Below are 14,776 nucleotides of genomic sequence, written 5' to 3' on the forward strand. Positions count from 1 at the left end.
TTGATTTTGGAATTCTGGCCTCAAAAACTGAGAGAGAATAACTTTCTGTTATTTTAAGCCACCAAGTTTTGGTAATTTGTTACAGCAGCCACAGAAAACTAATATCCCCCTCCTGGAGTGCCTTTCCTCACATCCTGCACATGGTGAGAACTTACCTTTTTTTCGAGACTCAGTATTAGTATAGCCTCCAGCCTGTGTGGAAGCACTCTTGACTGAACCCATGAGCTGGATTTGCACAAACCTCTTTGATGTTCTTAAGTGTGTATATCTCCATCAAGTTCATTTCAGCATCTGTAACTCATTTTTTAGTTACCTGTCTCTCTCCCCTACCAGAATTTAGAGTTTGCCTGGAGTGTAGACCATCTGTGACTCAGTTCAGAGTACTAGAGCCAATCATACATTTGGTCCATACAGGTGTTGAGGAAATGTCTGTTGAATAAACATGAGTATAAACAAGTGACCTAATCCTTGTACTCTTACTTCTTTGTCAATTATAGAACCCACAGCCACTGCATCTCTATGCCTATCTATCAACCTTTCCTTTCCCCTAACTTGAAGTCTATTAAAGAGACTCAGGTTTTCAGGCCCAGATGTGAGGTGGTATAATATCAAAAATAAAAGCACCAGCTTTGGGGTCAAATAGGCATATGCTCTGATTCTGTCACTTTCTTCGTAAGTATCTTAATGTCTTTGAACCTCATCTTTAAAATGTAGGTAGAAGATTAAATGAGATAATGCATGTAATATGGTCAATTACTCCTCTCAGAAGTACCATCACTCCCATTTTATCTTTTTTTTTTTTTTATTATACTTTAAGTTTTAGGGTACATGTGCACATTGTGCAGGTTAGTTACATATGTATACATGTGCCATGCTGGTGCACTGCACCCACTAACTCGTCATCTAGCATTAGGTATATCTCCCAATGCTATCCCTCCCCCCTCCCCCCACCCCACCACAGTCCCCAGAGTGTGATATTCCCCTTCCTGTGTCCATGTGATCTCATTGTTCAATTCCCACCTATGAGTGAGAATATGCGGTGTTTGGTTTTTTGTTCTTGTGATAGTTTACTGAGAATGATGATTTCCAATTTCATACATGTCCCTACAAAGGACATGAACTCAACATTTCTTATGGCTGCATAGTATTCCATGGTGTATATGTGCCACATTTTCTTAATCCAGTCTATCATTGTTGGACATTTGGGTTGGTTCCAAGTCTTTGCTATTGTGAATAATGCTGCAATAAACATACGTGTGCATGTGTCTTTATACTAGCATGACTTATAGTCATTTGGGTATATACCCAGTAATGGGATGGCTGGGTCAAATGGTATTTCTAGTTCTAGATCCCTGAGGAATTGCCACACTGACTTCCACAATGGTTGAACTAGTTTACAGTACCACCAACAGTATAAAAGTGTTCCTATTTCTCCACATCCTCTCCAGCACCTGTTGTTTCCTGACTTTTTAATGATTGCCATTCTAACTGGTGTGAGATGGTTTTGATTTGCATTTCTCTGATAGCCAGTGATGATGAGCATTTTTTCATGTGTTTTTTGGCTGCATAAATGTCTTCTTTTGAGAAGTGTCTGTTCATGTCCTTCGCCCACTTTTTGATGGGGTTGTTTGTTTTTTTCTTGTAAATTTGTTTGAGTTCATTGTAGATTCTGGATATTAGCCCTTTGTCAGATGAGTAGGTTGCGAAAATTTTCTCCCATTTTGTAGGTTGCCTGTTCACTCTGATGGTAGTTTCTTTTGCTGTGCAGAAGCTCTTTAGTTTAATTAGATCCCATTTGTCAATTTTGTCTTTTGTTGCCATTGCTTTTGGTGTTTTAGACATGAAGTCCTTGCCCATGCCTATGTCCTGAATGGTAATGCCTAGGTTTTCTTCTAGGGTTTTTATGGTTTTAGGTCTAACGTTTAAATCTTTAATCCATCTTGAATTGATTTTTGTATAAGGTGTAAGGAAGGGATCCAGTTTCAGCTTTCTACATATGGCTAGCCAGTTTTCCCAGCACCATTTATTAAATAGGGAATCCTTTCCCCATTTCTTGTTTTTCTCAGGTTTGTCAAAGATCAGACAGTTGTAGGTATGCGGCATTATTTCTGAGGGCTCTGTTCTGTTCCATTGATCTATATCTCTGTTTTGGTACCAGTACCATGCTGTTTTGGTTACTGTAGCCTTGTAGTATAGTTTGAAGTCAGGTAGTGTGATGCCTCCAGCTTTGTTCTTTTGGCTTAGGATTGACTTGGCGATGCGGGCTCTTTTTTGGTTCCATATGAACTTTAAAGTAGTTTTTTCCAATTCTGTGAAGAAAGGCATTGGTAGCTTGATGGGGATGGCATTGAATCTGTAAATTACCTTGGGCAGTATGGCCATTTTCATGATGTTGATTCTTCCTACTCATGAGCATGGAATGTTCTTCCATTTGTTTGTATCCTCTTTTATTTCCTTGAGCAGTGGTTTGTAGTTCTCCTTGAAGAGGTCCTTCACATCCCTTGTAAGTTGGATTCCTAGGTATTTTATTCTCTTTGAAGCAATTGTGAATGGGAGTTCACTCATGATTTGGCTCTCTGTTTGTCTGTTGTTGGTGTATAAGAATGCTTGTGATTTTTGTACATTGATTTTGTATGCTGAGACTTTGCTGAAGTTGCTTATCAGCTTAAGGAGATTTTGGGCTGAGACAGTGGGGTTTTCTAGATATACAATCATGTCGTCTGCAAACAGGGACAATTTGACTTCCTCTTTTCCTAATTGAAGACCCTTTATTTCCTTCTCCTGCCTAATTGCCCTGGCCAGAACTTCCAACACTATGTTGAATAGGAGTGGTGAGAGAGGGCATCCCTGTCTTGTGCCAGTTTTCAAAGGGAATGCTTCCAGTTTTTGCCCATTCAGTATGATATTGGCTGTGGGTTTGTCATAGATAGCTCTTATTATTTTGAAATACGTCCCATCAATACCTAATTTATTGAGAGTTTTTCGCATGAAGGGTTGTTGAATTTTGTCAAAGGCTTTTTCTGCATCTATTGAGATAATCATGTGGTTTTTGTCTTTGGCTCTGTTTATATGCTGGATTACATTTATTGATTTGCATATATTGAACCAGCCTTGCATCCCAGGGATGAAGCCCACTTGATCATGGTGGATAAGCTTTTTGATGTGCTGCTGGATTCGGTTTGCCAGTATTTTATTGAGGATTTTTGCATCAATGTTCATCAAGGATATTGGTCGAAAATTCTCTTTTTTGGTTGTGCCTCTGCCTGGCTTTGGTATCAGAATGATGCTGGCCTCATAAAATGCGTTAGGGAGGATTCCCTCTTTTTCTATTGATTGGAATAGTTTCAGAAGGAATGGTACCAGTTCCTCCTTGTACCTCTGGTAGAATTCGGCTGTGAATCCATCTGGTCCTGGACTCTTTTTGGTTGGTAAAGTATTGATTATTGCCACAATTTCAGCTCCTGTTATTGGTCTATTCAGAGATTCAACTTCTTCCTGGTTTAGTCTTGGGAGAGTGTATGTGTCGAGGAATTTATCCATTTCTTCTAGATTTTCTAGTTTATTTGCGTACAGGTGTTTGTAGTATTCTCTGATGGTAGTTTGTATTTCTGTGGGATCGGTGGTGATATCCCCTTTATCATTTCTTATTGTGTCTATTTGATTCTTCTCTCTTTTTTTCTTTATTAGTCTTGCTAGCGGTCTATCAATTTTGTTGATCCTTTCAAAAAACCAGCTCCTGGATTCATTGATTTTTTGAAGGGTTTTTTGTGTCTCTATTTCCTTGAGTTCTGCTCTGATTTTAGTTATTTCTTGCCTTCTGCTAGCTTTTGAATGTGTTTGCTCTTGCTTTTCTAGTTCTTTTAATTGTGATGTTAGGGTGTCAATTTTGGATCTTTCCTGCTTTCTCTTGTGGGCATTTAGTGCTATAAATTTCCCTCTACACACTGCTTTGAATGCGTCCCAGAGATTCTGGTATGTTGTGTCTTTGTTCTCGTTGGTTTCAAAGAACATCTTTATTTCTGCCTTCATTTCGTTATGTACCCAGTAGTCACTCAGGAGCAGGTTGTTCAGTTTCCATGTAGTTGAGCGGCTTTGAGTGAGATTCTTAATCCTGAGTTCTAGTTTGATTGCCCTGTGGTCTGAGAGATAGTTTGTTATAATTTCTGTTCTTTTACATTTGCTGAGGAGAGCTTTACTTCCAAGTATGTGATCAATTTTGGAATAGGTGTGGTGTGGTGCTGAAAAAAATGTATATTCTGTTGATTTGGGGTGGAGAGTTCTGTAGATGTCTATTAGGTCCGCTTGGTGCAGAGATGAGTTCAATTCCTGGGTATCCTTGTTGACTTTCTGTCTCGTTGATCTGTCTAATGTTGACAGTGGGGTGTTAAAGTCTCCCATTATTATTGTGTGGGAGTCTAAGTCTCTTTGTAGGTCACTCAGGACTTGCTTTATGAATCTGGGTGCTCCTGTATTGGGTGCATATATATTTAGGATAGTTAGCTCTTCTTGTTGAATTGATCCCTTTACCATTATGTAATGGCCTTCTTTGTCTCTTTTGATCTTTGTTGGTTTAAAGTCTGTTTTATCAGAGACTAGGATTGCAACCCCTGCCTTTTTTTGTTTTCCATTTGCTTGGTAGATCTTCCTCCATCCTTTTATTTTGAGCCTATGTGTGTCTCTGCATGTGAGATGGGTTTCCTGAATACAGCACACTGATGGGTCTTGACTCTTTATCCAATTTGCCAGTCTGTGTCTTTTAATTGGAGAATTTAGTCCATTTACACTTAAAGTTAATATTGTTATGTGTGAGTTTGATCCTGTCATTATGATGTTAGCTGGTGATTTTGCTCGTTAGTTGATGCAGTTTCTTCCTAGTCTCGATGGTCTTTACATTTTGGCATGATTTTGCAGCGGCTGGTACCGGTTGTTCCTTTCCGTGTTTAGTGCTTCCTTCAGGAGCTCTTTTAGGGCAGGTCTGGTGGTGACAAAATCTCTCAGCATTTGCTTGTCTGTAAAGTATTTTATTTCTCCTTCACTTATGAAGCTTAGCTTGGCTGGATATGAAATTCTGGGTTGAAAATTCTTTTCTTTAAGAATGTTGAATATTGGCCCCCACTCTCTTCTGGCTTGTAGGGTTTCTGCCGAGAGATCCGCTGTTAGTCTGATGGGCTTCCCTTTGAGGGTAACCCGACCTTTCTCTCTGGCTGCCCTTAACATTTTTTCCTTCATTTCAACTTTGGTGAATCTGACAATTATGTGTCTTGGAGTTGCTCTTCTCGAGGAGTATCTTTGTGGCGTTCTCTGTATTTCCTGAATCTGAACGATGGCCTGCCTTGCTAGATTGGGGAAGTTCTCCTGGATAATATCCTGCAGAGTGTTTTCCAACTTGGTTCCATTCTCCCCATCACTTTCAGGTACACCAATGAGACGTAGATTTGGTCTTTTCACATAGTCCCATATTTCTTGGAGGCTTTGCTCATTTCTTTTTATTCTTTTTTCTCTAAACTTCCCTTCTCACTTCATTTCATTCATTTCATCTTCCATTGCTGACACCCTTTCTTCCAGTTGATCGCATCGGCTCCTGAGGCTTCTGCATTCTTCACGTAGCTCTCGAGCCTTGGTTTTCAGCTCCATCAGCTCCTTTAAGCACTTCTCTGTATTGGTTATTCTAGTTATACATTCTTCTAAATTTTTTTCAAAGTTTTCAACTTCTTTGCCTTTGGTTTGAATGTCCTCCCGTAGCTCAGAGTAATTTGATCATCTGAAGCCTTCTTCTCTCAGCTCGTCAAAGTCATTCTCCATCCAGCTTTGTTCTGTTGCTGGTGAGGAGCTGCGTTCCTTTGGAGGAGGAGAGGCGCTCTGATTTTTAGAGCTTCCAGTTTTTCTGTTCTGTTTTTTTCCCCATCTTTGTGGTTTTATCTACTTTTGGTGTTTGATGATGGTGATGTACAGATGGGTTTTTGGTGTGGATGTCCTTTCTGTTTGTTAGTTTTCCTTCTAATAGACAGGACCCTCAGCTGCAGGTCTGTTGGAATACCCTGCCGTGTGAGGTGTCAGTGTGCCCCTGCTGGGGGGTGCCTCCCAGTTAGGCTGCTCGGGGGTCAGGGGTCAGGGACCCACTTGAAGAGGCAGTCTGCGGGTTCTCAGATCTCCAGCTGCGTGCTGGGAGAACCACTGCTCCCTTCAAAGCTGTCAGACAGGGACATTTAAGTCTGCAGAGGTTACTGCTGTCTTTTTGTTTGTCTGTGCCCTGCCCCCAGAGGTGGAGCCTACAGAGGCAGGCAGGCCTCCTTGAGCTGTGGTGGGCTCCACCCAGTTCGAGCTTCCCAGCTGCTTTGTTTACCTAAGCAAGCCTGGGCAATGGCGGGCGCCCCTCCCCCAGCCTCGCTGCCGCCTTGCAGTTTGATCTCAGACTGCTGTGCTAGCAATCAGCGAGATTCCGTGGGCGTAGGACCCTCTGAGCCAGGTGTGGGATATAGTCTCATGGTGCGCCGTTTCTTAAGCCGGTCTGAAAAGCGCAATACTCGGGTGGGAGTGACCCGATTTTCCAGGTGCGTCCGTCACCCCTTTCTTTGACTCGGAAAGGGAACTCCCTGACCCCTTGCGCTTCCCAGGTGAGGCAATGCCTAGCCCTGCTTCGGCTCGCGCACCGTGCGCGCACCCACTGGCCTGCGCCCACTGTCTGGCACTCCCTAGTGAGATGAACCCGGTACCTCAGATGGAAATGCAGAAATCACCCGTCTTCTGAGTCAGTCACGCTGGGAGCTGAGACCGGAGCTGTTCCTATTCGGCCATCTTGGCTCCTCCCCCACTCCCATTTTACAGATTAAGACATTGAATCCAATTGCACAGGTAGTAAGTCACATTGCAGGACTTGAAATTCATACACTTCAAGTCCATGCTCTTAAACACTACATTATGCAGAATTATGGGGCCTCCTACAAGATACCCCCTAGTCCGTTTGCTGAGTAATAAATTATTCTATCGTTTCCAAGAATGAAGCCTCTTTGGAATAGCACACATCCTTGAATTTATCTTGTTTGGTATTCCAGCTCCTTGGGAGGCCTCTAAATTCATATCTAATACAGACTTCTCTAGTCTCAGCTGGTTTGAGACACTGTGGATCGTAATGCTGAGAGTATGAAAACAAATGCCTTCTGCCCAAACCATCATCTTTCAATTACAAATCACTCTGTCAATTTGCAAGTGTTTTGGATGCGAACATCTTGCAGTCTGGCACTAGTTAGAGCTGAGAAGAAATTGAGAGAGGATACATGGGGAGAGGAAGAGATGAAAAGAAGAATGAATCAAGGATAGAGGAAGGAGAAAGACAATGGAATCGTCAATTTGAACAGATGTTTAGAACTCATCTAAGTCAGGGCCCTTTGTAGCATAGTTCCAGGGGCCCTGATCTCATGGATCTATGAATTGGAATCCAAGGAGTGGAATGGTGGCTCCTGGAGTTGTGAAATATCATGACACAAAGTCCAACTTTATTTATTTATTTATTTTTTTAGCAGTGGGTGAAACTAAGGTATATAGAATTTAAGTGGCTCCTCTAACAAGTGTCAGCAAAGTAATGGCAGAACTAAAACCTTTGACTTCTAATTCAGTGCTCTGTAGCATACAAAGGGTTAGGTATCCAAACATAAAAGAAAACATGGAGGTATGGACAAAGAGTGATTTGCAGGTAAGGCAAAAGAGTTAAGACTTCAAAGAGGAAAAACAAGACGAAGAAGGAATAGAGATGAAGAGAGATCAAGAAGATATCTACAAAAGAGAAAAGGAGGGATGGAGAACAAAAAGACAGGGGCAGAGAATCTGTAAAAAACAGAGAAAGTCAAAGATGATATAGTGCAGCACAAATTCAAACAAAATGAAAGAGAAAGACTGCCGAAATAAAAATGCAGGGTTAGATAACTGGTTAGTCGCTCTCCGATGAAAATATCTAATGCACCCCCCTTGCTGGTATGCATGAGGTCCTGGCCTCTTAATGAGTCCCCAGGCTTCCTATGACCAGGCCTGGCTGACCTCCCCCACAACTCATTCCGCTCAGCTTCCTGCCTCTAGGGGTGTCTTCTGCAGGGACTGTCCTGCTTCTCCACTCCACTCCTGGATATTGCTTGGTTCATTCCACCTAATCCTTTGCAATATCATCTATTTCAGGGAATCTTCCCATCCCCTCTTCCTACTGTCCACCCTCCAGTCCAGGCAGGGTTGTGAGACCCTCTTCTGGATCCCACAACAGCCCACAAACTCCCATTATATTATTTATCACAATGGACGGCTAATCTCTGTTTTAATGTTACCATTTTTCTCCCAACAGACTGTAGATTTCCTAGGGCCAGGAATTAGGTTGGATTCATCTTGTATCTCCAGCAATTACTGCAGGGTGAAAAATATACTGTTACACTCAATGCATGACTGATGAATGAATGAAGGGACAAACCACTCCTTCTCTCAGGAGTGACAAATTATGTCGACAACCACTGGGGGGTGCTCTTGGGTAACTCCAGCAATGGGCCTGGGGGAGCAGGCGGTGGAATTTCTCTGTTACAAACACCTCAGCAAAGCAGAGAAGGCAAAAGTGATACCAAACTGGAGAGATCCTTCTAGACTTCACCAGGTGAGGCTGAGAATGGAACAAAGCCTGCCCTAGTGGATGAAAGAATAAAATGAAAGTCAGAGAAAATGGACTCGAGTCTATGGAACTGGTTAGCTCTGTGGTCTGGGGGAGTCACTCATCACTGAAGGGCAGCAGTTCACTTGATTCACACAAGCCCAGGCGATGGCCATTATTATCCCCGGCCCTCACCTGCCGGGAATAGAAGGATGAATGAGCAAGACAGCGTTCTGTTCTATTGAGGAAAAAAAAAAAGACCTTAATAGTACAGGAATGGGGTTATCTGGGATTCTTATTCTAATTGCCAACATTTATTGCATATTTTCTATGTCAAACATGATTCCGAGCACTAGCAATGCAGGTCTGAGCAAGTCACTGCCCCATGTTGCCCGTTCTCTAGAGGAGGAGGAGGAGGAGGAATAGAGACGTGCAAGACTAACCACAATTTTAAGAAAGGAACGAGGGTTTGATGACAAAAGAGATATAGGTAACATGCCACCACAGTGACATTTGGTCTGAGGGATCAGGGAAAGCTTCAGAAAGGTGGTAACATTTTTCCCAACCAGACCTGCTGGGACATTTAGGTTTTATTAGACAGAGCTGAGTCAACATGATACTCTAGGCTGATGGAACAGCCCAGCATATACTAGCAGGCGAAGATGTGCAGGGTGTGTTTGTGGAAGTGTGAGCAGAAGATGGAATGGAAGTAAAGGCTAGAGAGGTGGATTTGGCTAATATTAACAGCAGGCAGGATGCGCTGTCAGAACAGCAGAAGTGGCAATCGTTGGGGTGGAAGTGGCTGCAGCTACAGGGACCACAGTAGCAGCTGCTTTGATGGTGCAGGGTGCCAAGAACTATACTAAGGGCTGTGTATACAATACCTCTTTCAATCCTAACTATCTACGTATCTATCTATATATTATGTAAATACACATACATATGTATATGCATGCATGTGTATATTTATGTATATGCATAGGAATGTCTATTTTATCAACATGTAGTTTTTATTTCCATTTCCTAAGTGAAGACCATGAGACACAGAGGGGTTAAATAACATATCCAAGGTGAGTAAGCAGCGAAGTCATGATCTACACCGAGGTCTGTAAATTTCCAGAGGCAATGCTTTTAAATGCTATACTACACCTCACCCACTGTCAGGCTAAGAAGTTGAGAATTTATCATGTAGGCCAAGAGGGAGACACCAAAGGTATCTAAGGGAATAACACAATCTAACAAATGTTTTCAGAAGATGACTCTAGGGCCACTCCTGCCCCAACATCCTTGGGCGATCCCTGCCCTCCTATTTTTAATGGAGCCCCTTCTGGGGCAAGAAGGGGTGGACATGGTCCATTTGTAGCAGTCCCCAAATCTCCCAAAGGAGTCCAGGATGAGCCCAGCCCCTCTGACAAATGCTCCAGCCTCCCCTAGCCCCAGGGAGTGATTTATCAGCACAGCGTCAGCGCCTCTGCCCAGCAGCCTGTGATCCAAGGCTGGCGGCCCAGGCTGGGGTTTTTAATTAGCTGAGAGAGGGAAGAGTCAAGCCCTCTCAGATGGAAAGAAAGAGACACACCAAGAAGGCTCATGAATCCTGAACCAAGGACCCATCGACTAGAGTCTGGCAGTGGTGGGCAGATGGAGGGGAAGGGGGAGGGGGAGGAGGAGGAGGGGGCAGGCTGATTGTCTTTTTGGCAATTTCATGGTCTCCCTTGTTTTCTGGTCCAGACACTACAGGGAGAATGGGAATTCAGACTACCTTTCACACAGGAAACCCTGGAGTACACCCTTTTCTAGTGTGACTTTGTGACCAGAAGTCAGAGAGCCTAATATTTAGCTCCATCTTTGCCACTGACCTTCTATATAATTTGAGGTAAAAATTACAACTTAAAAGCTTTCAGGCTTTGGAGTTAGACACAAGCTTAATTCTCTTTTCCATGCTGTTTACTAAAACTGTGACTCAGTCAAGTTGCTTTTCCTCTCTGTGCCTCAGTTTTCTCATCCATCAAGTCAGGACAAGATCTCATATTGTAAGGGCTAAATGAGACAGCACAGGTAAATTACCTGTATTAAGAAGAGAGGTTCCTCCAGTCTCCTGAAGAGACCTTCAGCAGGCATCCCACCATTTAACTCCAGGGTCATTTCAGATCACAAGAATCATACTGAAAGCCTGCTCCATAGGCCCTGGGGATACAGAGCTGAGTGAAGTAGTCTCTGCCCTTGCAGGCTTCACAGTCTGGTTGGAACAGACAATGAGATGGGCAGTTACAGAGAATATGAGAGAGAGCTGTGATTGGGGGTAGTAGTGAATTCCATGCTGGCATAAAGGAAGGGCACCTGCTGAGCTTCGTGGACACCTGGTAAGCACGCTGGAGTGGGGAATAGCTGAACTGATTTTTAAAGAACAAGATGTCACTGTTGAGGGTGAAAAGGCAAGAGAAGATTATCCCAGACAGAGGGGACTGCGTGATTAGAATAAGATGGAGCAGAATGCCTGGCACACTGTAGGTCTTCAAAATAATTTCTGTCGAATAAAGGAAGGAAAGAAGGAAGGAGAAAAAGAGGGGGGGATAGAAGAAGGGAGGGATTCATCTCATTGAAAGTTTGAGGGGCAGAGAGTTGAGATGACACTGGCTAAGTGATTTGAACTTTATTATAATGACAAGGAGAAACCATCAGAAGGTTTCAACAAAAAAGTGATGTTTTCAGACGTGTGTGGTAGAAAGGTCACTTTTGGAAGTTGGGATGAAGAGGACAAGAGTGGGGTGAAGGAGACCAGTTAGGAGGCTGTTACAATAATTCAGGTGAAAATGACACCAACTTGTCTAAGGCAGGGGCAGCGGGGGTGGAGGGAGAGAGCATCTCCTTTAATACAGGATGTAGTCACAGACCACACCTACCTACCTGCCTCATGTGGTCCAGCCCCATCACCATGACAACAGCCTCTTTAACATCCCTGGCCATAAAGAGATAACAACTCTTACATCTGTTCCTGGAGGTCCTGCCTCTATATTTTTTTCCTTTCTTTTTCTTCTTTTTTCCCCTTTGATTGTATCTGATCCAGCCTTACTGGGTAATTGAGTGTTTGAGAGTGAAAAATTATCTCAGCAGCTTGGCCCTTATCTTGACAGTGAAGCAGCACTTTTAATTTAATTTTGTTCAGAGACGCATGGGTAACAAATTTCACTAATCGCCCGGCTGTTGCCCTCTGCATGGTAACGAGCCGTTTGTTACCAGGCAGCCCAGCATAAATACATGTGGGAGAGCAGGCAGGGGAGAGAGACAGAGGTTGGGAGGAAACAAGGGACAGACACAATCAATATGAACCAGGCTTGGGCTCTGCCATCAGGTGGAGAAACAGAGATGGAAGGCCAACTGCATTAGCACAGAGAGGAGTTTTGGCGCGAGACTCAATGGAGCTCCTGTCCTTGTTCTGTCTCCTATCTGGGTGAAGTTCTGAGCAAGTGATTTAAACTTTCCATATTTTAGGGTTCTTATCTGTGAGGTGAGGTGGGGATGTTCACAATCTCTACTTCTCTGGGTTGTTGTAAGAGTTAAATGAGGAGCTATAAAGTAAGTAAGCTATAAGGTAAGTAAGCTATAAAGTAAGTAAGGAGCTGGCCGGGTGCGGTAGCTCATGCTTGTAATCCCAGCACTTTGGGAGGCTGAGGCGGGTAAATCACTTAAGCCCAGGAGTTCAAGACCAGCCTGGGCAACATGGTGAAAGCCCATCTCTACTTAAAATACAAAAATTAGGAAGCCATGGTGGCAAGCACCTGTAATTCCAGCTACTTGGGAGGCTGAGGCAAGAGAATCGCTTGAACCTGGCAGATGGAGGCTGCAGTGAGCTAAGATAGTGCCACTGCACTCCAGCCTGGGTGACAGAGCAAGACTCTGTCTAAATAACAACAACAACAACAAAACAAAAACAGTATCCCTAAAAACAATGTCATGATATTCTTGAGGCTGCTAAGGACCTTAAAGGAAAAAAAACCCTGGCCCTTCATCCAATGTTTGGATTTCTTTCAGAACATCCTCCACAGGTTATTGTTCAAATTTTGCTTGCATTCATCTAATGATGGGGAACTCACTGTGGAAGCAGACAAGAACTCTGACACTCAGAATTGTCTTGCTTATGCTGACCTGTAATATGCACCCTTCAAGTCCCAGCCTATGTTAGCACAGCCCTGCCTTCTTGACTTCTGTAAAGAGTCAATGCGCACCCTCCTTCCCAGGTGAGCTCCTCCCTTAGACTTGTATATAGAAATAATATTGTTTCTCACCACACCCAAGTCTTCTTGTATCCAGCTAAAAATATCCTGTAGAGCATCAGAGCTAGAATAGCCTTTATAAGTCATGTAACACAACATTCCACTTTATATATTAGGAAACTGAGGTCCAAAAAGAGGAAGAAAATTTTAAAAAATAAGTTGTTATTTTTTGAGTGCCCATTATGTTTTCTCCCTGTTTCCAGTTTTCCACCATTATTTCGTCAGGCATCTGTCTCTATATTTTTATCCATTGAAGAGCCATCCTTGATTTATGGTCTTTTGTATCCCAAAGCCATTACTCCAAAGCACCTCAGCCATGGACATATGACTCACACTGCATTATCTTACTTTGGTTAAAAAATAAAAACAAAAATACCATGTTATTAGAAGCACCGAATTGGAGAATCAGGAAAGACATTACAGAATTGTAGTTTATTTAACCAGAGAAGAACCGAGGCCACAGAATTTAATTGATCTGATATTCTCTATTATTTATTATACCCTCTATAGCTTGAAAATGGCTGGAGGGCAGAGACCACTAGTCTTAACCATCTATGCCTTGGTTCCTTAAGGCAATGATTCTCAACTATGGCTGTTCCTGGAGAGCTTTTTATTTTATTTTTATTTTTATTTTTTGAGATGGAGTCTCACTCTGCTCCTCAGTCTGTAGTGCAGTGGCACGACTTTGGCTCACTGCAACCTCCACCTCCCAGGTTCAAGTGATTCTCCTGCCTCGGCCTCCCAAGTAGCTGGGATTACAGGTATGGGCCACCATGCCCTGCTAATTTTTGTATTTTTAGTAGAGAGGGGGTTTCACCATATTGGGCAGGCTGGTCTTGAACTCCTGACCTCAGGCGATCTGCCTGCCTCGGCCTCCCAAAGTGCTGAGATTACAGGCTTGAGCCACTGCACCCGGCCATCAACTATGGTTGCTCCTGAAGAGCTTTTAAAAAGATGGTCGGGTGCAGTGAATCACACCTGTAATCCCAGTACATTGAGAGGCCATGGCAGGAGGTTCACTTGAGTCCAGGAGTTTGAGACCAGCCTGGGCAACATAGTAAGATCCTGCCTCTACAAATAATTAAAAAATTAGCCACGTGTGGTGGTGCGTGACTGTGGTCCTAGCTTCTTGGGGGGCTGGGGAAGGAGGATTGCCTGAGGCTGGGAGGTCAAGTCTGGTGTGAGCTGCGATGGCACCACTGCACTCCAACCTGAGTGACAGAATGAGACCCTGTCGAGAGAGAGTGAGAGAGAGACAGGCAGACCGACCGACCAACCAGCATGCCCAGTCTCCACCTAAACCTATTAAATCAAACTCTGGACTGAGGTCCAAAGTTAGGTATTTATTATTTAAACCTAAGTGTGTTTACCATGCAGATAGGGTTGGGAACCATGATACAAGGGGAAAGAGCCCTTTACTCACAACATCATGCTTCATGGACAGAGAAAAAGGTCAGGAACCTTCTCATGGTCTAGAACCCTTTTCAACTGGATATTTACTTTTGATTTTTCTTTCTCTTTCTTCTTTGTTTTTCACAATTAAGTAAAAGTGAGATATATTCATTCCTCCAGGGATTCCAAGACCAGATACATGATGGCTTGAATAAATAATAAAAGGGATGAACACTGTTTTTCAAGATTTCAGGTCAATCTAATTGTATCATAGACAATTGAGAGCAGCTGCCCTAGTTATAGAAACACAGTCTCCTCCTGTATAAGTTAAAGTAGTCAGATCTAAGGCTACAATTGTTCATCACTTACCATCTTCTCCAGGACCTGTGCTAAGTTTGTTGCTTTTATTATTTCATTACAATCTTGAAACCACTCATAGAAGAAAGAGCTACAAGAATGGCCATTACACAGCTGAGAAAATCGTGGGTTGGTT

At 43.1% G+C, this 14,776-nt stretch overlaps 1 protein-coding gene across 3 annotated transcripts in view, besides 2 other annotated features; it reads right to left on the reverse strand.

The window, feature by feature from the left end:
• ASTN2 (astrotactin 2) overlaps positions 1-14,776 on the reverse strand; it is a 991,946-nt gene that overhangs the window by 642,115 nt on the left and 335,055 nt on the right. The gene's annotated exons all lie outside the window — the stretch shown is intronic.
• Positions 5,911-6,503: an enhancer, noted in NCBI's record as "OCT4-NANOG-H3K27ac-H3K4me1 hESC enhancer chr9:119833416-119834008 (GRCh37/hg19 assembly coordinates)". NCBI's record gives its function as "activates a minimal SCP1, AML or CMV promoter by ChIP-STARR-seq in primed H9 embryonic stem cells {active_cell/tissue: H9 hESC(primed)}" and the evidence as "EXISTENCE:reporter gene assay evidence [ECO:0000049][PMID:30033119]".
• Positions 6,504-7,096: an enhancer, noted in NCBI's record as "OCT4-NANOG-H3K27ac-H3K4me1 hESC enhancer chr9:119834009-119834601 (GRCh37/hg19 assembly coordinates)". NCBI's record gives its function as "activates a minimal SCP1, AML or CMV promoter by ChIP-STARR-seq in primed H9 embryonic stem cells {active_cell/tissue: H9 hESC(primed)}" and the evidence as "EXISTENCE:reporter gene assay evidence [ECO:0000049][PMID:30033119]".

The sequence above is a fragment of the Homo sapiens genome, chromosome 9 (genome assembly GCF_000001405.40).
Source record: "Homo sapiens chromosome 9, GRCh38.p14 Primary Assembly".
Taxonomy (NCBI): Eukaryota; Metazoa; Chordata; class Mammalia; order Primates; family Hominidae; genus Homo; species Homo sapiens.